This window comes from Homo sapiens, chromosome 11, assembly GCF_000001405.40.
Source record: "Homo sapiens chromosome 11, GRCh38.p14 Primary Assembly".
NCBI lineage: Eukaryota > Metazoa > Chordata > Mammalia > Primates > Hominidae > Homo > Homo sapiens.
Window position 1 is genome coordinate 103,992,669 of NC_000011.10, and position 24,864 is coordinate 104,017,532.

At 38.1% G+C, this 24,864-nt stretch overlaps 1 protein-coding gene across 2 annotated transcripts in view; it reads right to left on the reverse strand.

The window, feature by feature from the left end:
* PDGFD (platelet derived growth factor D) overlaps positions 1-24,864 on the reverse strand; it is a 256,959-nt gene that overhangs the window by 85,480 nt on the left and 146,615 nt on the right. Inside the window, exons 2-3 of one of the 2 annotated variants that reach the window (NM_033135.4) lie at positions 7,383-7,569; positions 3,397-3,577 (exon numbers count right to left, since the gene is read on the reverse strand). In NM_033135.4, coding sequence (NP_149126.1) covers positions 3,397-3,577; positions 7,383-7,569 — 368 coding nt within the window. Of the gene's footprint in view, positions 1-3,396; positions 3,578-7,382; positions 7,588-24,864 lie in introns of both variants that reach the window. The other variant, NM_025208.5, reaches the window with a different exon arrangement.

A 24,864-nucleotide genomic window follows, 5' to 3' on the forward strand; every position in this document is an offset into this window, starting at 1 on the left:
ATTCCACACATCAAAAACTGTGATATAAGCATCAATCCCAACCAAAAATAAGTTATCTTGATGTTATCCATTAGTCTCCACAGTTTGCTAGAGTAAAAAACCGACTAAAAATGTACATTGCACTTTTCCAAAAACATTATGAGCATGAACCATGTAGATGTGATTCCAGTGTAATAGGCTCTTGCAGTCCTGGATACCTACTACTTGTAGCTTTAGGAAATGTCCAGGTACACCTGGAGAGTCACTGAGGCAGGAAGAGCAGAGATGTTCCATGGGAGGTATGCAGGTAGAGAGGTAGATATGAGAAGGGAGGTGAACTTGACCTATGATCTATCCTAACAGCTACTCTTCATTTTCCAAGAGCACCTTGACTTCTCGTGTGCTGTTTTTGTTTGTTTGTTTGTTTGTTTGTTTGTTTTTAGACAGGGTCTCACTCTGACACAGGCAGGAGTGCAGTGGTGGCATCACTGCTCACTGCAGCCTTGACCTTCTGGGCTCACACAGTCCTCCAGCTTCAGCCTCTGGAGTAGGTGAGGTTACAGGCATGTGCCATCATGCCTGTTTTGTTTTGTTTTGTTTTTCACTTTTTGTAGAGACAGGGTCCCACTATGTTGCCCAGGCTGGACTTAAACTTCTGGGCTCAAGGGGTCCTCCTGCCTCGGCCTCCCAAAATGCTGGGATTATAGGCCTTAGCCACCACACTCGGCCACGAACTAATCTTAAGGCTCATATTTTTCTTGCATCTAGTATTCCTTAAAGTAGGGGTTGCAAAACAGCTGACTCTAGCTCCTAAATGTGTTTAGCATTCTAAAATTTATTATTTAAACACACTTGAAGAGGGATTGCCATTTTTAATCCCACTATCTCCCTATTAATTTACACCTGGCCTACTTCCAGTTTCAAGCCTGGTCTCTTAAGTTTATAAACCCTGCTTTAAAGCCTCTCCAAGTAAAATTTAAACATGAATAAAGTGATCTTCCCAGTACAGTGGTCAAACCATATGTGATCTATCCCTGCTGAGCCAAGAATCAAACAGAAGAGTTTTGTCAAAAAGCCACATGATCTAGAGTCTCTACATACCTGGAGGTTAAGCTCATTCTATCTCTTAAAATTTGTTTGTCAAAATACTTTGGCTTTAGTGGGCCATATTTAAGGCCAGAAGCCTATTAGGAGGCAAAAGAGTCTGTAGCTATTCTCAATGGACACAGACCAACAGACCAGTAGAAAAATACACAAGAATGTTGTAATATCATCATTTCAAAAAAAAAACACAAAATTGAATATACTGGTGGAGGTAAATAAGCCAGGAGAGTGATGCCAAACAGTTTACATCCAAACTATAGAGGCAGCCCAATATTCCACTTAAAATTGACCAAGAAATGAGTTATGAGACTGCACCATAACCCAAAACACATCAAACAAAAGTATCCATTCTCCCTTAAAACTGTATTCCTACTGCTTTTTACAAAAGTGGTTATTTTGCCTTAAAGACATTATGTTGTAGTTATGGTGTTTCCAACTGACTTATGGAACATTCAGCTTACTCATAACAAAACATTAGCACTAATAGTGCTTGGTATTTTAAGGCAAAAAATAATTCTTCTCTAAGCCTATCCATCACCATTCTCACATGCCAAGCCTGCTCCATCCATGAATAATTGAGAACAGATGCATCACTGAACACATTAAAAGGCAAATAAATGTAGAAACCAAAGGTTCACACTTCAATTTTAATACTTAGCAGAACTGCATGAGTTTGCAATAATGTAAATCATGCTTGATGGATTATTTTCACATTAAAACTGGAACCAGTGTTACCGCATGTTATTTTTTCATTTACAATGTTCTGATGTAGAATTCACTTAGTGTTTAATAATTCACCATAATGCAAAGAAAACCAATTAGATTTTTTAAAAAGCAAGTTTTTTTTTCTTTTCTGAAACTTTAATTCTTAAGATAAAAAATAAAAAAATAAATTGATGCCATTTATAGTACTGTGTTCTATTTTGGCATTCACACTTGGTAAAGGGACAGAGACAAACCGAAAGAAAGTGAAAATTGATCCTAAAAGGCAATATGCTACAAACAACTGAAGGATTCTGGGATATTTATGTTAATGTATAGACAAAATTATCCAAATGTCTCTGTGGGCCTAACGTACAGCACTCAGTTATTGTGTCTTGTTATGCATCATTCTCAGTTGTTGCTATTCCTTTTTTTTTTTTTTTTGAGACAGGGTCTTGCTTTGTTACCCAGGCTAGACTGCAGTAGTGTAGTCATGGTTCACTGTAGCTTCAAACTCCTGGGCTCAACAATTCTCCTGCCTCAGCTTCCCCAGTAGCTGGGACTGTAAGCACACACCACTAAACCAAGCAAATTTTTAAATTTTTTTTGTAGAGATAGGGTCTTGCTTTGTTGCCCAGGCTGGTCTCGAGTTCCTGGCTTCAAGAGATCCTCCCAACTCAGCTTCCCAAAGTGTTGGGATTACAGGCATGAGCCACCACACCTGGCCTGTTGCTGCTTTTTAGTTTTTGGCATCTCTACCCGACTTTAAGCTCCAGACGGTTCAAGGACCCTGTCTGTTCTGCTTACCTTTGTATCTACTACATCTACCAGAGTGCCTGACAAAGAACAGGAACTTACTATTGTTTTATTAATGTATGAATGAGTAAAGATTGTGTGTGACCCATGACTGTGTGTGACCCAACGACTAAAATTAACTACAATGTAGATTTTGGCTCATTATAAGGTTGAACATTTTCTATCAGTCAGAACCATTTACAGTTGAGAATGGCTGCTGAGGTGTTTAAGTAGAGAAAAGGCTACAAATAAGCATGAGTGTAGCAAACAGGATTCATACTCTTGGGTCCTCTATTGGACCTTTTGATTTTGCAGATGCTTATGAGCCCTGAGGCTCTATGATTATAACACAGACCCTTCCCAAATCTGGGTCATAATTGAAATTATAATCATCAGGACTTTCTTCTGTGATAGAACTTATACACAAATTTTCAAACTAAAAGAGGAAATTATTTTCTTTAGCTTTAATTCTGAAAACCTGTTTAACTCTCACATACCTTCTATTTGGCTGTATGTTTACCTTGCATCAGTTGAATCAAAAGGCAATTTAGTATCAGCTTTACCTTAAAGATTTCCCTTTTTCTATGTACTATGATCTCTTTCAAAATGCATGGCACAAAGGTTGACTTAATAGATCCAAAATGGTATTTCTTACTAAGAAGGATTTTAACATTTTGACCATAAGGTAGGAACAAACCATGTTATAAGGAACTAATAAAGTTCACTCACCCTCACTGAATTTGATCATAGAAAATTGATCTCTACACTTCATGAAACCAGTGTCTGCTTTTAATCATAAAGTGGTTAAGTACTCACCAGCAAAGAATAATAAATCTTGAATCCAGGTTTAGCCACAAAGTAGTCATCGGACTTGAATGTGATTTTAATTTGGTTCGTTCTTGATTTTATCCTTGGAGGAACTTCCTTGTGTCCACACCATCGTCCTCTAATAATGGTACTGGTTTCGGATATATCTTCAACTTCCACAAAATCATACCTAGAATCAATTGGACATAATGAACAAGTTTTGATTAAAGTAGATTTTGAAATTCATACTTTCACTGAGAAATTAAAACTAGCATATATGATTTGTCATGACCACAATCTGAAATGAAAATTATAATGTACAGAAATGTTAAAAGGAAAACTGGTTTTTGGATTAGGTTTGCAAATTCAAGCTTCAGTAATCTATTCTGAGAAAACCTTTACATACATTTAGTCATGACTGTTCCTAAATCTTCAATAATCAAAATGGGTCACTTTCTGAGCATCTGGTTTTAGAAAGTTTTCTTGGAAAAACTAATATCTGTAATTGCTGGCATATTTTAGGAGATGTAACTCTAGTTATAGGCCCAAATATTAACTATATAAAGTTTTTAAAACAAATACCCACTCTGAATTAATTTACTGCATTCGGTGCTTTCTTGAGAAAGTAAATGACCTATATCTATATAGCTTACAAAATCAGTAATGCCATTACAGAAAATAAATGAATACACACGACTTGCTATATTCTCTTTTTGGAAACGATCTTTTGGAATGATCACGTCATAAAATATGAAACTTATCATGAAGGAAAGCATGTAACTTTAAGGAGAGATGTGTGCTAACCAATATTGGAAAAATCTGAGCTGGTTAAACCAGGGTGTGAATGAGCTTAAGACCATAAGTTCACCTCTGGCATTGGTCGGAGAAACTAGAATCCTGGGATTCAAGAAGACAGCAAAAGCTGCTTTAGTTATCCTTGTGGGCATTTGGTCTTCAAAGCACCTCCAGAGTGTTCCATCATTCTATCACATAGTAGGAGATCCTCAGTAACATAGTTTACATCTTCTAGGGAGCACTTATTCTATTTTCAGCTCCCTAAGATGTTGGAACCTTCTACTTGATAAGCTGAACTATTTCTTTCAGTTTTGGTCATCAGTATCTCGCTCCTACAATCTACTTTTCCACAGTGACTTCAGATGCTGAGGTCACAGGCAAATGATGGGCATTCAGGGTGAACAGTGGCAGAAATCTCACATCCATATTACAGTTTTCTGTTACAATCATCAGAAGGAATCATCATAAGAAACATTATTTCTGAATACATAGAGAAACCAATATGGCCTTCCTGGTCTTACTCATGCACCTCAGAGCTCTACTGGATTGGGCAAGGTAATGTAAAAAGAAAGTAAAAAATAATGATATTGTGACTAAATTTCTCTAACAGTGATTTACAAGGCCCTTATGTCCGTTGCCTCAGTTTCCTTATGGATAAAATAAGAAGGCTTATATAATTTTACCAGCTCCATATCTCTTGGGTGCTGTGTAAATTAATCACTTAATGTTTATATGGTGCTTGGAAGGTAAAAAGCACTAACAAAGTATCATTATGCAAGCAACAAAATATTACAATGTAAACATCAAGGAGGCTTTGGAACAGATGGTAGGAAATCAATTCCATTTCATTTTGTATACAATACATGTAAATCATATTTACTGCACAAAGCATGACTATAATTGAAACTTTTAATAACACCATAGGTCACTTTTGTTTAAAGAACACATCATTGTAACTTTAACTCTGAACCTGAAGTCAAGAGAGGGCTGTTTTATCTCTTAGGGAGGGTTCTGAGACAAGTCTCTGGTCTGTCTCTTTCCCGTCTTTCTCTCCTCTTTTCTACCTGCTATACTTCTACTTCCTTCCATAAATTTTGAGGAGCAACTAGATTTGATTAATGGTTCAGAAAGGAAACCATCCTCACTGTTCCTCCCTTAATTTCAAGGCCAGGATGTCAAAAGGACTCACTGCTAGGATCAAAACTCCAGCTCAGTAGTGGAGACCTGGCTTCCCTTCTGTGATATTGTAATAATAAGAAATATATATATTTGGTCTTTGTTCCTGGCACAGGCTCCTAAAACTCTTGGAATTTCTGAGTGCTGGGGTTAGAGGAGCATCTTTTTTTATTCATAATAAGCCCCCTTCCAACCATACCAGAATTTATCCTAATGAATAAATTCATTGCCTTTTGGAAGTACCTGTTGGGAGGCCCCGAGGTAGCTTCAGAATGGAGGCTCATCACCAGAAAGAACAAGACATGATTAGAGAGTTGTAAATTTTGGCTCCACCCCTAGACCTCTGGGGAGGGAGAGGGCCTGGAGATGGAGTTCAATCACCAATGATTTAATTAATCGTGCCTTCACAATGAGACTTCCATCAATACTCTTCTAGGCTGGTGAATACATCCAGGTGTTTCGAAGGTTGCAAACCCAGAGAAAGCACTCTTTCCATACATCTTGCCTATGTATCTCTTTCACTTGGCTGTTCCTCAGTTGCATCCTCTATAATAAACTGGTAATAGCAAGGAAACTGTTTCCTTGAGTTTTGTGAGCTGTTCTGGCAAATTATTCAACCCAAGAAGAGGGTTATGGAACCCCTATTTACAGCTGGTTGATCAGAAGTAGGAGAGGCTTGGAAGCTGCAACTGACATAGAACATGGAGGCAGTCTTGTGGGACTGAGCCTTAACTTGTGGGATCTGACACTGATTCCAGGTAGTGTCTGAATTGAATTGAATAGGACAAAACAAGCTGGTGTTGGAGGATTAACTGCTGTGGGAAAAAACCCTCACCTCACAGATTTGGTATTGGAAGTGTTCTATGGGCAGAAACAGATCATGGTACCCTCCACATCATCACCTTTAATAATCTTTTAATAGCGTCTTTTTCCCATGATTTTTTAGGCACAGAATATTAGTTCTTTTTTTTTGAGATGGAAAAGACGCAAGATCAGCATTAGTTTATTCTCTTTGTAAATATTAACTGGCTCTTCCTTAATGTATTCATCTCTGCTTTCTGGCATACATTACCCTCTATGGTCCTAGAAAGTAATAGTCAGTGCTGTTATTCTCAGCAAAATAGCAACATAATAAAAGCTGTCAGCATAATAAACATGCAACAGAGGACAACCAAATTTGAGGCCCCTCTTTTTATTATTCAAAGGAAAATAAACCCGCTGAAAGGATTTAGCAGTTCAGTAGTTCATTGGCAATGCAGAACAAGTGTGTGCAGTAAAGTACAAAAAAGAAAAAAAAAATCTTCCTCAAGTCTTATACATGCTAATTAAGCGAGTAAAATGCTGTGAGCGGACATTCAAAGAACAACAGTCCAGGCTTTCTTTGATAAATATGCTAAGAAGAGAGAAGATTATCAGACACAGCTTTCATCTTCTACTTGTGACCCAGAAACTGCAAGAAACAGACCCTTCTGAGGAGCACAGGGAATCTGGGGTGAGCTTTCTCTTCCTTCCCACCCGTATCTGAGGCCTTAACACTATGAATTCGGGGTCAGGCCCTGATAGCTTCCCCAACCATCATCTCCCAGTGCTGGCGTAATTCATTATGGGTAGGAAGGCCTGGGTCAGCGGGAGCCGGGCAGGGGTTTATGCTCCCTAAGCCCATGGCAGGCTTTGACCACACATGATGCAGCTGCCCGTAACCTGGGATGCTGGATACCTGTGCATAAATGCTGCTCTGTGCCTGGAAAAGGAGAGGACCTCCAGATTTCACCCTTCTTTGGAGGTCACACAGTCCTGACAGTTGCACAAGTGAGTTTCTGTGAGTACTGCCAGGTTATTCGGCTCTCTGCCTCAGCAGTCTACGCTATCTTGTCTGTTAGGGTCTTTAGGCTTTTTGAAAAAGAAGCGACACATGTTGGGTCCATTTAAAAGGCTCAAAAGGAATGTTTGATACGATGCTTTAAATTCATCTTTTTCTTTTTTCACCTTGAAATAGTACCGTAAAAATTTTTTTCCCAACTTACCTACAGATATCATTTTCTGCTTCCTCTAATCCAAACTGATTGTCAAACACTAGCTGTATCCGTGTATTCTCCTGAGAGTGAAGCCGCCATGTCAGGAGCAGGTTCCTGGGGTAGCTGTTCGGGAATCTAGGACTCTGCACGTAGCCGTTTCCTTTCACCTGGATGGTCTCATCTCTTCGGTACAAGTCTGTGAGGTGATTGCTCTCTGTTAGTAGTCACAACTTGTAGAAATTAGTATGTTGCTCCAATTACAGGAAAGTCAAAAAAAGAGAACAGTTTACAACACATCATACTTCAAAACACTTCTTTATTTTGCCTAAAAACATTAAGTCTAAATGCAAATAAACAAACTTTTTTTCTCACACTGATGGCGTAGCAATCTATGTCCAGTGACTAGCATCTGAGATACTCAATAAAGACTGCTGAGTGAATGAATGAGTGAAAAACAAAAGAAAAGACTCTAGTGATGTTTAATGACCCTTTATTTTGTATTCAATTGATATTCTCCGATGGGTAACCTTCTGCCTTCTATTAAACAAACAACACATCTTTCTTCTAGTATCCCCCACCTCCCTAAATTCTTCACAAATCCACCCTTGATGTCTGTCTAACTTTGTACTTTGGGAGTTCTCTTAATATCATTCTTGACAAGCAAAGACTAACAACAATCTCAGAACTTCAGTTCATTTAGTATGGATTAGAATCAGCAAATAATTTCATCCATCCTTCCACCACGAAAAATCATAATTTTGTGTCTTGGGTTTTCTATGAGTTAAAATAGGTCCAATTCTTACTGTATTTTCTCTATGCTGTTAGCCAGATAAAAAGAATTTATCTGGTTTTTGTACTGGGTTCTTGGAAGAGAGTTTCCAAACCCTTGGAATTTCTCACGTCATAGAAATATTTTTGTTATTCATGATATGGCCCCCGGGACCACGTCTGAATTTATGCTAATGAAGTGACTCACTGTGGGCCCACAGATAACTTTAGGATGGGGGTCGGCCATGCCAGATAGACCAACCATGTGATTAAGGGTTAGGGTTTGGAGCCATTATGACATTCAACCTGATCTCTCTCCCAACCTCTGGGGATGAAAGACGGATTGAAGATTGAGTCCACTCATGTTGATAATGATTCCATCAATCATGACTGCATAATGAAACTCCAGTGAAAACTCTAGACACCAAGACTTGGGTGAGTTTCCCAGGTGGGGATACACATTGATGTACTAGCAGGCTGATGTGTCCCGAGGACACAGAAGCTTCATGCTTGAGACCCTCTCAGACCTTACCCTATGTGCTTCTTTATTTAGCTGGTCCTAATTTATATCCTTTATAGGAGGACTTTAATTTTAAGTACAGTGCTTTTCTGATTTCTGTGAGTTGTTCTAGCAAATATCAAACCTGGGGGTTTATAGGGACTCCCAAATTTATAACCAATTGGTCAGAAGTGCAAGTGAGCTGGGGTCCCCCAAACTTGCAGCTGATGTCTGAAGTGAGTACCATATTGTGGTGCTTGTAATTTTAACCTGTGGAATTTGGCCTAACTCCCGGTAGTTTTCATCAGAATTGCATCATACAGTGGATCCCCTTTTCATCTCTCTCAATATTCAGAGTTCATTGCATTTTGGATTTTGGCTTTTTAGGCCCCACCATAAACAGACCTCCAGCCACAGTCTATTTATGTTATCCTGCAGAGAGTTTACTTTGAGGACTATAATTCAGTGAGCCTGGTCAGGGAAGCTATGCTTGCTGGTGGAAACCACTGTAAGGTAGGGTTTCTGAGGGTGGCTGTTAGAGCTTCCAAAAATAAGACAAAGAGGATAAGAATTGGCATGTGAAGTACAAAAGTCTCTTTTGCAAGTGATTTTGCATATGGGAATTTAAACTTTTTTTGGACTCATTTAATGTTAATGTGTTGCAGCTTGTTCAGCTAGACTTTGTGTGGGAGACAGAGTCGTAGGAAAAGCAACGGGTAGTTGAGGGATGTCCCCACTCCCTGCCTCCAGATGAAGGCAGTGGCCTGCAGTCATGGCAGCACTTCCAACAAGGACAGCAAGCAGACAACTTCCTAGGAGACGAAAATCATTTCTGCTCGTTGAGTCTTTTCCCTTCCCTTGATCTTATGCTTAAAGATCAGCTGCGAAAACTGGTGTCTGCTCATTTTGTCATAAGGGGCTTTTAGGCAATGGGTCTTGATATGGTTTGGCTCTGTGTCCCCACCCAAATCTCATCTCTAATTGTAATCCTCACATGTCAGGGGAGGGACCTGGTGGGAGATGACTAGATCATGGGGTGGTTCCCCCATGCTGTTCTCGTGATAATGAGTGAGTTCTCATGAAATCTGATGGCTTAAAAGTGTGGCGGTCCCCTGCAACCCCTGCCTCCTGCTGCCATGTAAAAGGTGCCTTGCTTCCCCTTCACCTTCTGCTATGATTGTAAGTTTCCCAAGGGCTCCTATGCCATATGGAACTGTGAGCCAATTAAACCTCTGTTCTTAATAAATTACCCAGTCTCAGGTAGTTCTTTATAACAGTGTGAAAAATGACTAACACAGGTCTGAACACTGTTTTCTAGGTTGACTGATTTGAGCTATTAGTCAGTCAACAATTATGTATTAAGCATAGATTAACCATATTGTATTATAGTATTTTCAAGACTTCTATCACTTGAGTATTACCCTTACAATTTTTGCCACATTTTTGTGCCTCTAGTGCTATTAATTATTTATTAGTTTCTCTCTAAATTAATATTTTAATCAAAAGCAAATTTATTCTAAAATAAAACTTTATGCCAATAATGTAAATGGCAAGCAGCCATCATTTGCCATGAATAGAAGGTAACCATGAGTCTAAATATATTACTATTAAATTTTAAAATATCTATCTCAGGTATTCAGATTCCTCATTTGTATAAGTGAATTGAGCATCACATTTTCTCTTTGGTCTTTTTCATGGGTATTATATATTCTTTCTTTACAGTTTCAGATGCTATGTTAGATCTGGATAGAATTTAAAAATGTTTAAAGAATGGTTCTTGTCTTCGTACACTTGGAAAAAAAAGTTGATGCATACTGCACAAATGTAAACAGGCAAAAGGGAATATTAAGTGCTGAGTGTAAATGCTGTGGTTGCTCAAAGGCCAGGTGAGCAGCAAGGGCTAATGTGGAGAATGTGTACATATGATCCTTGCAAGAGGCCTGCCCAGAACAGAGCCCAAGTGAGACATAAGAGGCTAGAAGCTTTAAAGGAACTATGGAAATATTTGAAAGCCAGGCAGAAATATCTCCACTTGATATGGGTACAAACAGATCAGCCCTGGTGTGGGTGAATAGTTTGTTAAAAGGAAGATTAGCCTGTTGGTGATACAGTAGACAAACTGGAGGGAAAATGCCTGGAGCATCAAGGTCTCCTAGGAACTAGAGGTGAGGGTAACAAGGTCCTATTCTGGAAGGGCAGGTGGCAGTGATGCCACTTTGGGGGAAAAATAGAAAGGAATGTAAAAGTATTGGTTAGAGGTAGCAGCAGCATGCTAAGCCTAGAGCCTGGGCTCAGTGTGGTATTATTGATACTCAAGGATGCTGCCAGGGGAAACATTTTTAGAGGAATGTAAGTTTGGTTTTGAAGTGGTGATGAGTAATTCAAGTGGAAACTTAGCAGGCTTTGGGGTTACAGAGCTAGCTGAGAGAACAGATTAGACACAAGGCCTCAGCTTAGAGAGGGGAGAGGAGGCCTTGGGAATCAGTGATCCCTCTCAAGAAGTGTCCTGAGAAGGGAAGGTGAAGCTTGGTGCTGGCAGACATGCCCTGGGAGTGGCAGATGACAGAAGGAGTGCCCACCTGGAGCAATGGCTGGGAAGGAAGCTGTGTGTAAGTCAGGCTGCCCAGAAAAGGGACAATTTCAAGGACAGAGTGGTCAATAAAGTCACATGCAAAACAAGACCAGGGGACAATAGACGGAGAAAAGACCACAGAACTTGGTAATAACAAAGTCAATGATATCCTTTCAAAGTACACTTTTAGAACTTTTCTAAGTATAAAAGGGGACTCTTTTTTCTAAAACATCATTAAAGTCTACACTGTCTTAAAGGTATTAACTCTGGTTATAAATGAATGCCAATTACATTTTTATGAACCTGTAGAAGGGGTGGGGAGAGGGGCTTTCCTTCTTATGTAGTTTGATTAAGACAGTACAGTCAGCCCTCCATATCCATGGGTTCCACATTCATGGATTCATCAACATCAAATTGAAAATATTTATTAAAAACAGGATGCTTGTGTCTGTGCTGAACACATACAGACTTTTTTTCTTGGCATTATTCCCTAAACAATACAGTATAACAACTGTTTACATAGCATTTATACTGTTTCTAGAGGTGATTTCAAAATATAGAAGAGGATGTGCATAGATTATATGCAAACAGTACATCATTTTATATAATGGGTTTTGGTATCCTTGTGGTATGTGGAGCGGGAAGGGGTTCTGGAATCAATACCTCATTAATACTGAGGGATGACTATATTCGTTTTCAATTTCACAAATTTGTCAGAGACCTATGCTGCAGTATTTTGAACTACAGGGGAAAAATAACAATATTTCAGATTTATTTTTCCTTAAAAAATTCTGCCAAAAAATACACCTGAACAAACAAAATATGCACAACAGCAAACACTGCTAATTATGCTTATTTTGTGCCTGGCATTGTTCTAAGCAATTTGCATACTTCATTTGTAGGGTCTAATCACTTTATACAGATGATCTCTTGTGTGTGTATGCATGTCCATATATATTTATAACGACTTTGAGATAGGTATTATTACCACCTTTTTTTTTTTTTTTTTTTTTTTTGAGACAGTGTCTCATTATGTCACCCAGGCTGGAGTGCAGTGGTATGATCTTGGCACACTGCAACCTCCGCCTCCCGGGTTCAAGCAAGTCTCCTGCCTCAGCCTCCCGAGTAGCTGGGATTATAGGCACGCACCACCATGCCCAGCTAATTTTTGTATTTTTAATAGAGACAGGGCTTCACCATGTTGGCCAGGCTGGTCTTGAACGCCTGACCTCAAGTGATCTGCCCACCTTGGCCTCCTAAAGTGCTGGGATTACAGGCGTGAGCCACTGTGCCCAAGTCATTACCACCATTTGACAGATGAAAATTCTGGGGAAGAGAGAGGTCTAGTATCTTGCTCAAGGTCACAGAGCTAGTGAAAGGTAGAGTTAGAATACAAACCAGGCTATCTGGTTCCAGAGTAGATGCTTCTAACCACTGTACTATAGAAAGTGTTCTTCCTTCTTAGTCTGAAATCTGCTTGAGGCAATTTTAGATTCTTTGCTACGGGTAATTGTGTAATCCACTTCTAAGTCACACTGTTTACATATAATTTAACTTAATGCCAACTCAGGGCTATTCTTAGCAGAAGAGTTGTAATGAATTATAGATACAAAGAACAACCTCTCAGGTTAAACCCGAGATAAGTACCAAAGTATTATACACAAAGTCACATTCCTAAACAAAGGTATTTACTTTGGTGTTCCAATAACAGCTAACATTTCTGGAGCAACTATTGCCAGGTACTCCAATAAGTGGTTTAAAGCCATTACTTCATTTAATCCTCACAACAACCCCATGCCATTGGTATTATCCCCACTTTACAAAGGAAGTTCTGAAAATTTAAGAAACTTGTGACCTCAGGCACAAAGCTTGTGGTGGAATCAAGATATGACCTTAGGCAGTCTACTACTTTCAGAGCACACATGCTTAACCAGAGCACTGTACTAGCTGTTAAACTACAAAAATAGGAAAACAATCACTTTTCACAGAGAGGAAATAATTTTTATGTATGTTTATATAACAATGACATAGTTTTATTTTGCATTTTAACACAGAAAGATGTTCACATCCTCATAAACTCTGAGGTACGCATTTGACTTAAAAAAGGCAATTAAAATTTTTAAAAAGCCAAAATGTTATATAATTGTCTATTTTATTCCCAATTGTTCAGCAAACTCAGCTCACCCAACCAAGTACCCCAGGAGCTCATGAAAGTCACTGTAGGCACTATTACTTATCCCTGAAATCCATCTAGACCAATGGTTTGCTATATGTGGTCCCCAGAGCATCATTATTAACATCACCTAGGAGTCTGTTAGGAATGTAAATTCTCAGGTCCTACTCCAGACCTACAGAAGCAGAAATGCTGGGCACGGAACCAAGCACTATACATATTAATAAGTCTCCAAGGTGATTCTGATGCACCCTAAGGTTTGAGAACCACTGACCATATCATGATTTCTATTTTGCTTCTTATTCCTACTTTCCTGCCACCTCTTTGCTTTGACTCTGTAACTCAAGTCTGGTTTTTCATTTTGTGTCCTTGACTGACAACCTGTTGATATGGACAGGAGTCAGAGAAATACTGGGTAGAAGAGGGTAGTTCCCCGGCAAAGGCCCCACTCTCAAGCCTGGAAATCCACAGCCCTAAATGGGAACAGGCATTCCTGTTTTTGTTCCCAAAAGTTGCCTTTGGGTCTGCCATGCCACCCTATCCTGTACCCATAATAACTCCAGACCCCAGGCTCCAGAAGCAGATGAGGAGGAGACGAACAGAAGTGCAGAAGAATGGACGAACAGCGTGGCAGAGAGAAGAGAAGGAGCATCTGAATATCAAGAGGAGTTCAGCTGGGGGCGGCTAGAGAGGAGACCTGCTGCTGGACAGCCAAACTCCAGGGAAGAGTATATTCCCACTCCATCCCCCTTCCAGCTCCCTATCCATCCTGGTGAGAGCCGCCTCCACCATTCAATAAAACCCCCACATTCATCCTTCAAGTCCATGTGGAACCTGATTCTTCCTGGATGCCAGACAAGGACCTGGGTACCAAGAGGGCATGGAGCTGGTTAATACTTAAGCTGTCTGTGGACAGCAAGGCTAAAAGTGCACACTGTATCACGTGCCCATTTGGGCTTTGGGAGTTGCAGATACCCACTCCTGGATGTTGCTATGGGAGTGGACCCCAGGGGTCTCATCTGCGTGCTCCCCCTCCTGTAAGGGGTTTGAGTGTGCATGACAGCTAAACAAGAGGAGCCACATGCCTGTCGCAAGTCCTATGCGGGGGATCAGGGAAGTATCCCGTTTTACTGTCTTGGGCTCACTTTTCTATTTCCGACCTTGGAACCTCCTCTAGGATGTCATTTCCAGTATACAATGACTAGAGCAAGAGGCTACACACCTTGGTGTCTTTGACTGCCTTTGACAGTCTCACCCCTTATCCAGCTTTCCCCATTCATGAAGAAGTCACCCCTGGCCCCAATAAATGTATGTGATAATCCATCATCATATATAATAATGCTTAAGGAGAAATGAAACTATGAATAATGGTAATGTTTTTCTTCTCATATCATAATATTATACATGACAACATAAGATGCAAAAGGAAAATAGTTGTTGAAGTAAAAATTAAAATATTTGATCAAACAGTGATATAGTTGCAGGCTGTGCCATCTCACACAAACTCAGTGGAACACTACAGACATGCCCTTTTTCTCTTGTCCCCATAAGACAGCCAGGAACCAATAGCATGACTGATAGTGACAAACCCTTTTCAGCTACAAGCCAAAAGCAATCAAGAATCAGGAAATTCCAAACTTACAAAAAGATCTTTTTAACAAAATATCATTAATAAAAGTGCTGTTTCATGATCCTATAATATGTCATAGCAGTAATGTTTGCCCAGAATGTAGTTGAATGATATGTAAACTATATAGTCCCACTTCTGTTGCTAAACAACCACAGTAACCTAAATTTGTGTGGGATGCAGTATAGTTTATAAACACCCATTTTGCAAGTCCATCATAGAAATAAGTTGACAAAATAGGAAGCAAATATTATACTTTCATTCTGTTTTTTATAATAATTGTTTTGTTGTTACTTTAACAGGTAACAAAAGCAACAGAGAGAAGTGATTTGTTGCAAGCCCAAAGAATGGAAGCTTTCCATATTTAAGAGCTGAGTCTTAAAGTCAGCTCTACCTCTTTCAAGTCCTAGTAACTCTTCCCCTATATTACAAACAGCAGCATTATTCACACCATGTCATCCCTCTGGCTTCTGTTTCTCAACCTGATACATTAGGGGGCTGAATAATGTGGCAGATTCCTTTCAGGTACAAAATGACATGACACCTCAATAGTTTTCTTCCAAGGGGACAGAAATACCAGTGGTTGGACTATGGGTAATAGATAAGATTAAACAATGCTCGGAAAATAAAATCTCAAATCTCAAATCTTCAATGGGTAAGTGGTCAAACACTTTTGCTAACTATATGTAACATTTTATTATATTAGCATTAGATATAATAGATATTATATATAGTTGTATGCCATCATCTGAAATAAGAATACAAGTTGTTCAAACACATATTGTTTGGAAAAATCTCTATTTCTTTTCAACTAGAAAAGTGTCCCAGGCACATAATTATCCACTTAGCACACTAATTTGTGTTGAAAACATTACGAAGGAATTAAAATAAATGTTTTAATGTAGAAACAATGTATTCTATCTTTTGCTCCCTTTAAAACTAAGTAAAGACTTCTTTCTGAGTCTATCTAGGTAGAAGAGATAAAAACTGAAGATACTCAAAAGTGCTGTATAATTTCTTTAAAGTTTCAAAGGAAAGTAAAAAATAAATCATATTGGAGAAAATTAAACTCCTGAGGCAAAGGACTATGTCTTGTTAATCAATGTAACCCCAGTATATTGCCAGTCTGGGCATATGAGGCACTCAAAATATATTTTTAAAAAACATACATGGATGAATGGTTAACTACAAATAGTACATATTATATATGCATATTATAATAATAATGCAAATTATTAATACAAACCTGAAAGACATTTAAAGATAACAAATAAAAGGCAATTTTATCAGAAATAAAATTGTAAAATGCCCCAAATATTTCACTTCTAAGAAATTCATATTAATGTAGCCAAGGGCCCTATATTTGTGAGAACACATTTAGCATGAACATTAAGGGATTATTTTTGGAAGAGATGCATTTAAATGATCCTGCTTAACATCTGGTTTATATATTAATTCTGAAATGACTACTTACTCTGTCCTATTTCCATTTCACAACCTACCAGTAGCACCAGAGCCAGGCCCTACCATACTTTAAGAAGTTGTGACTCTGAAAGAAAAGAAGAAAAATGCTGTAACAAAAGTAAAATAGTTTGCTGTTATATATGGGGGCTGCTCTTGGATTTATTAAGCAATATACAAAATCGGTGACTGACTAGATTCCATAGGTTCTCATCCTATGCAACCATTTAATTTAGAGTGGCAAGCTCAGCAAAATGAATCAAAATCAGTCCTGTGTCTTGCAAATGCATTATTATTATTATTATTATTATTATCATTACTACTCAATGACCTCAAGTAATTTCTGCACTCTTCCTCAAAGAATCAAAACACAGTAAAGTGTCCTAAGATGCAAAACAGTACCTTAATTGATGAGACAATGTGCGGTGTTTTGTTGAAGCAGCAAAAAAGAAATGAAAGAGATGGAAGATAGAAAAGAGACTAGGGCAGGAAGTCCTAACTTAAAAATGAATAGGTCAATTTGTACAACAGACCCTAAAATATGCAACTTGGATTAAATTGAATTTAATTAGATAATTTTCCATAAATTATCTCCTAACTTAAAAAGTACAGGGTTGGAGTCTCACCATGTGAACTGATAAAGGTGAAAATTAGACTCTAACAATGTTAGTTTAAAAATCAGCACGGAAGCTTTTTCAGCTTTTTCCCCCTAGTGTTTGCTAACGCACTGAAGCTTGCAATCAATGAGCTGAAGTCCTCCTGGGACTATTAATAGGACGGTCTTCACTAAGGAATTTTTGGTTAACACATGTTCCTAGTGAGAATTAGTCTTCCAATAGCTCACATTAGCTTTCCAAAAACAACATCCACCTGTGCTCAGTCTATGGCCTGCCATTAAGAAACTCAAGAGCAAAGCTGATTAAACATCAGACATTTATTTAGAATTCTCCAGCAGAGATTTTTCTAAGATCTCAGTAGTAATACAAAACTTTTCTGTTTATAAAGATTTGGGGAAGGAGATGGTTGTTTGCCAGTTACATATCTTTTTTTTTTTTTAAACATTAGAGCTCTTTTTGGCACAAACAAAGATGTTAATGTTACATAAACAGCCATGCTCACAGTAACAATTTGGAGACAATGTTTTTTTGTAATCACTTGATTATTCCCTGAACTCAAAATTATTCTTCTTCAAGAATCTGAGTCCACCAAAAAAGAATAAATGAAAAAGTACCATAAAGTCCTCTTGAATACTTGCCAGAAACACTCACAGGAGTGTAATAATGCCCAAAGTATTATATTCATAATTATTATTCTTCACCTCACTAGAACTTTTAATGTACAAAAATTTGTTTTGTTATTGTACATTAGTGAGCGATCATATTCTTTCCTTCAAAATAGCTTGTATTTTATAGGTAATTACAGAAATGATGGTAAAATATTAAAATGGAAATAATTTAACTTTCTGAAATGACTTTTGGTCTAATTTTTAGAATATTTGAATCTGGATAAAGATTGACCCAAAATAACCATGGTAGATTTTATCACATTCATATTAATTAATTCTCTGATAATTCTCTTTTCTTCTATGGTAGTCTGTTTGTGTTGCGATATTGCCACTTACATGTAAAGAATGTGAAAAAAATGAAATAATAAAATTCAGAACTGTGAGGGTGAAGGGAAATGTTGAATGGCATGGTAGAAAGTATTACAGTATCTAAGGCTCCTGAATAGAGAGATCCTTTCCATAATACTAACTTAACACCCAGAAAATAATAAGACAACCACAATGACAAAAATATCTGCTTTAACCACTGCCAACATAGCTCAGAAACACAGAAAGATAAGAGGGAAAATAGAAAAGTCATACCCAGGAGTAACAAGATTTAGCATTTTTTCTAGAGAACATTTGTTATAGAAAAACCAATATTTTTATAAATATTGTCAATAATGAGGATTTTCTCAGAGTAACTTTAAGAAGTAACCAACCCAATAAAGTTGATGTGGAATTGAACAGTGTGGATCAGAGGCAATGATCGTAAAATATCCTAATGCTTAAAGTGCTAGTCTGTACAGACAAAGATGAAAGCATTTTCTTAGTCACTTCTGACTAAAGGGCTCACAAATTCCCAGGAGAAAGCTGAGAGTTAGTTTGGTTTATCACTTGTGATGTATATAAACTTATGACTATATTTAATATGTACATTAGTTACATATCACATAATGAACACATTATGTATATTTATAATTATACTTAAAATAAATTTTTATTAAATTGTATGGCTTCAGTGCTATTTACGGATTAAATCACTTTTCAATACCAAAGTCATTGCATTCCAAAGTAATTTCTTCGCATGTTAACATTTTAAAATAGGGAACTATCTTATGATTACTGTTAAATGTAACTGTCCAGCTGTCAGGAAGAGGAGCAAGTTGGGACAGAGTTTTCATAGATTTTGTAAGCATAAATTTAGTCATGAGTAGGAGATAACTGTTCATCTGATTTCAACTTCAAATATTATCTTTGGTAGCATAATATATGGATGAATTATAATGTATTTGGATAGCTGTCACTTGTAAAACATTTATAAAGGTTGTACTATGATGCAGTATCAAAATTTTAAAAGTGTTTGTGAAGATAAATGAGTATGGAAAAAGAAATGAAAATGTAAATATACTAAAAAAATGAAGAAATAATATCACATCCATATTCTCTGGTAAAAAAAAATATTCAAGTGCTTTATGGGACCAAAGCTGGGAAGATGTATTAAAGTAAAAATTGTATTTTGATTTGTCACTGATGCTCAAGGAAATAAATTTCCTGCCTCTCTCAGAAAATGCAATTAAAAGCAGTAGAAATTATGAAATGTCTCAGAATAGGCCAAATAATTAGTAAACCTATGAAAGATTAATGCAAATGATTCCCGCATTATGATGATGATAAATAGCTACCTATCAAAAGTTGGAGGCTTTCAAGAGAATTACTTAACATCTAGTGATACCTAACCCACATAAGCAGAAAATGATACAATTAATGAAAATTCAGATGAATTCCTAGCATTCTTTGATATTTCTCGGAATTATCTGGAGTCCTAAAAGTGCACTGTTGATCAAATCATAATAACACACACTGGTTCTGAAAAAGGTCATGTTACTTTGAAGCTATGTATGAATACTGAATTACCGAAGTGATTTAAAAGACTTCTGTGATTCAATGTAAAAAAGGCTTGGATTTGGACTTTGAGATAATAAAAGACATTATACTTTTCTGGATAAATGCATGCTATTATCATTTTATTAAAAAGAATACTGTGTGCTTTTAATGCAGACCTTTTATTCTCCCCCAAAGCTATTACTAAGTCAATGCTAGGTCATACAACGGATGGTGTTTTAGAATGAAACAAGCTTTTTGTTTTCTTGTTAAAGCTCATGCTAACAAATCTCTTCAAATATCTTTGTGTAGACTACTGTGTCTCCTCCATGGACTCTTCCCTAACGTGACTCCAGTGGAGTAGCATTAGTTAGGAAAGGACAGATTATACTAGCCTAAATCTTAGTGGTTTTAAAGTTTATTTTTTGTTCATGCTACATGTCCACTTTGGGTTGGTGGGGCTCCACTTCATGTTTTCTCACTCCGAAATCTGGGAAAATGAACTTTTAGTACTGTAATATTTAGAGCTATGCAGGGGAAACCAGGAGATGAAGAATGGCCTAAGAAAACCACATGGCCATGTTATGGACAAGAGGCAGGGAAATACTGGGTAGAAGAGCACGTTTCCCCTGCAAAGGCCTCACCCTCAAGCCTGGGCCTGCGGCCCTAAATGAGAACTTCACAACCCTGTTTTCATACCCAAATGTTGCTCTTTCTGAAACCACCCTGGCCCACTATGTCCCCCACCCTGTACCCATAAAAACCCCAAACTCCGCTGGCAGAGGAGCAGAGCAGTATGGCAGAGAAGGAGAAAAAACAAGTGTCTGAATGTTGAAGTGTCTGAATGTGGAGAGGAGCTTGGCCTGGGACAGCAGAACTCCAGGGGAAGATTATCTTCCCAATCCATCTCTTTTCCTGCTCCCCATCCTGCTGAGAGCCAGCTCCATCACTCAATAAAACCTCCACATTCACCATCCTTCAAGTCTGTGTGACCTGATTCCTCCTGCATACCAGACAAGAACCCAGGTACCAAGAGGGCAGGGTATAAAAGGCTGTCATCCTGACTCTCCACTGAGCTGGTTAACGCTTAGCCATCCGTGGATGGCAACTACTAAAAGAGCATTAATTGTAACACACCCCTAGATGCTACTGTGTGGCTGGAGCCCAAAAGCACTCAACCCAGCCTGGCACCCGCTCGCCTGCATGCTCCCTGTCCTGCAAGGGGTTTGAGTGCAGCAGCCAGTCAGTGAGCCATACAGGACTGTTGCAAGTCCTGTGAAGGGGTCCAGGGAACTCTTCTGTCTTAGCCAGACCTAACTTCCAATAGAGTGGATGCCTGGAAAAGTAAAGAAGAACTGCAAACTGATGAACAGTTTAGTAGTGACTACTTCAATGGCATACTTACTTCCCATATATAAAAGCATCAGGCTTGACTTGTCTTTTTGTTTTTCAATAGGTAGCATGATCTAACCATACACTGAATAACATCTCATTGTTATTATTATAAATCATTGCAATTGTGGCAAAATAGATGGTCAGGATAGAAATGTATCTCCAAGCAGAAGATTCATAAAGATTTGATGACTACAGAGGAAGAAAAATGGTGCTGAGCTACCAAAAAATACATTTGAGTAAGTGGTCTTGATCTTTGTCAGAATTCATTATCTTTCTAGAGATAGCAACTAGGTTTTATTCAGTAGATAAATTAGGATAGTGACAGTAACCTCCAGTATTCATCTTAAGAAGGATTCTGAGCCTGTGTCTATGTTAAATAGAAAAAATGGAAATGACAAATTAACAATGTCTCGCATGGGCCCAGAAACATAGAGACAGAAACATTTTTGCCATCCCTTTATATAGCTACTGAATAATATTCTATGTCTGTTTCTCTACATTTTTGCTTCCTTCATGCCTATTCCACAAGACCTGTACTGGTCTGCTTATGCCTGCAATCCCAGCATATTTGGGAGGCCAAGGCAGGAGGATAGCTTAGGCTAGGAGTTCGAGACTAGCCTGGGCAACACAGAGAGACCCCATGTCTACTAAAAATAAAAAGATTAGCTGGGTGTGGTGGCATGCACCTGCAGTACCAGTGACTTGGGGAGCTGAGGCTGGAGGACTGCTTAAGCTCAGGAGTTTGAGGCTATAGTGAGCTATGACTACACCACTGCACTCTAGCTTGAATGACAGAGTGAGATCCTCTCTCCAAACAGACAAACAAACAAACAAACAAAAGATAAACATGCTTTCTTGTGGGACCTCCTACGGTAATCTAGAATCTTTTTTTCAGATGAGTTAGAAGTAGCCTTTAATAAAGAATAATACATACTAGCATTTAATACATCCTGAGAAAGATGGGATTGTGTGTGCCTACATTGCTAAAAGCAACCAATTTGTGAAGCCAAATAGGCATCTTCGAGGTCTACTGTGGTTTATGCTACAAAATTGGTGAGCTTTATGGAAAAAATGACTAACAATATACTGGCATCTGTCTGGCTTCCCTGGGAGCCCATATATTAATAATAATCAAATAGTCTCTCACATGATCAGCAGAAAAGAAATTTGAAGTTATATTCTGGGACAAGACCCAAAGTAATTCCTCACTCTATCAGCATTTATTGAGATTTTACAGAGTGCCTGTTGGGAATTAGGAGCTGCATTTAGATGGTGAATAAATTCATGCTTTCATCCTAAGTATGATCCCACTAGGCAGAATGGTCAAGTTCTCAATTCCTCTGTTGCTGTTATTTTTGCAAAGGAAAAGATAGAACTTACTATTCCCGTCATTTGAAGGCTTCAAAGATATTGCTGGTGAATCGCTTCCTCCAAACTCTTAATGTGCTACTTAAAAAAATTAATTCATAAACCAAGAATACTTGCTTTTAAATCTTACTAGATTTTATTCTGAAGCACACTCAATAAAAATCTAAGTTTCAAATTTAGCTAGAGTTAGTAATCTTCTGTGAGATTGCTACAAATGACATGCTATGAGAAGCCAGCAATTGAAACAAGATTCTCTTTTCTTCTTAGATTGACAGGGTACTGCTTGAAAAAGAAATGCAGATTTTGTTTATTCTCAAGGGGTCTCAGGTGTGAACGAAGCTACATTTTAAATTAATCTGAGAAAAAAGACCAATTTTAGAGGCAAGAAGAACTACAGGTCATCTTTCTTGGTATTTCAGAAGAAAAAAGAAAAATAAACACAGCATTACCTTTGCATCTGGAATACAAAAAATGATTTTAAAGCAAATGTGCACATAGGAAAATCATCTATTTAACTTTATCCTTAAAGAAAACAGTACATTCAAAAGCATGATTTTCTAGCCTACATATGTCTTTACATTAGATCTAGTAACTATGTACTGAATGAAATGGGTTTTAATAAGTTGAAAACTGAATAAATTAAAAAGCACTAGAGTATTAGTATGCACTGAACTCCAGAATGGCATATTTCACAAAGTTACAATATCATGTGAGAGTTTTGCATGGTTGTCCAATTTAGCCATTCACCCATTTTCCATTTCTATTTTCATTTTTGGTTAAAAACAGAGACACAGACAGTCCCTTCATGCATATAAAGAGCTCACGTGGAAACAACATTGAATGACAGCTGGTTTTTACTATCAATTTCATGTTTGTGCTACAGAGTCCAAAACCCCAACAGAAACACATTCTCACAATTAATAAATTTTAAATAGTAGTAAGCTCTCAAAATCTACTTGTTGAATGAATCCCTCTGAAATTTTACACATAGGCAGAGGTCTTTTTATTTGCACAGTATCACATGCTTAATGAATCTGCTGGTCTTATAAAAGCTAATTTTGGCTGCAAATTTTACAGATGACCAAACTAAAATTGACTGAGACAATAAGGAAAAGGTGTCATCTCTCACAGGAAGTCAGGAGGTAGATACTTTCAGGTTTGATTAATTCATGGCTTTGCATGGTAGTCATGGGTTTTTCCACCTTTCTGTTCTGCCATCCTGAATGTGTTGGCTGCTCTCCTTAAAATGTGACAGCAGTTTCAGCTATCTCTCCCTCGCAGGGTTGGATTCAAGGCCAAAGAAAAGGCCTTTCTTGACATATTTCTAAATATCTTTTTAAGAAAGCGGAGCCTTTCTCAAATCCCCAAGCAAGCTTTCCCTCTGTCTCACTGGGCAGAATCTGGGCATATTCTCAGGCCTATGCCAGTCATGGCAAGGGGAACAGACTTACCAAGACTGGCTTGGACCCACACAAAGTTCTCCCCGAGCTGAGGCCCATGTCCACCCATCAGGGTAAAAGTAAGAAATAAGGGGCAAGAGAGAAGTTGGAGTGGCAAACAATGAGCAGTAATTAGCAACTACTGGGTATGTCTGTGTTTATATCAAGCTTTAAAAGGCCCTTGAAATATGCATTCAACCGATATTTCCTGAGTGTACGAATGCTACTTTAACACGGAAAGGGCACCATGGCCACTGTTCGAATGAAAACATTAATACTACACGGTTGTTGCTCTGAACAAGGTGGTTATAATCTGTTTGGTGTAAAGGTGGGATTGGCAGAAAAATCTTTTTTTCCACAATTTGCCATGTAGCACTATTTAAGAAATGTTGGTCACCTTGAAGCAGGTTTTGGGAAGAAATCTCTGACTTTTTCAGCCATGAAATATTTCTCTGCTATAGTCTGAATGTTTGTGTCCCCTCCAAATTCACATGTTGAAATTCTAACCCTCGAGGTGATGGTATTAGGAGGTGAGGCCTTTTGGGAGTGATTAGATCACAAGGCAGAGCCCTCATGAATGAGATTACGGATTTATAAAACAGGCTCCAGAGAGATTCCTAAACTGTCTACCATGTGAGGACATAGAGAGAAGGTGCCATCTATACATCAGGTAACAGGCTTTACCAGACACCCAATGTGCTGGTGTCCTGATTTTGAACTTCCCAGCCTGTAGAAATGTGAGAAATAAATTTCTGTTGCTTAAGCCACCTGGTGTGCGGTATTTTATTATGGCAGCTTGAGCGGACTAAGGTACCCTCTTTACTTAGATCTATTAACATTCCTTGGGTGTTTTTCCGTTTTTTTTGTTTTTTTTTAAATTATCCAGTATATGCAAACAAACACCAGGACATCAGATAGGAAGATTAAACCTCTATCCATTGCAGAATGAGTCACAGCCCATGTTTTAGTCTCTATCTACTTTCTCCAGTTCAAATTTCCAGTCTAACACTCAACATATTCTTCATCACTGTTCTGCCCGAT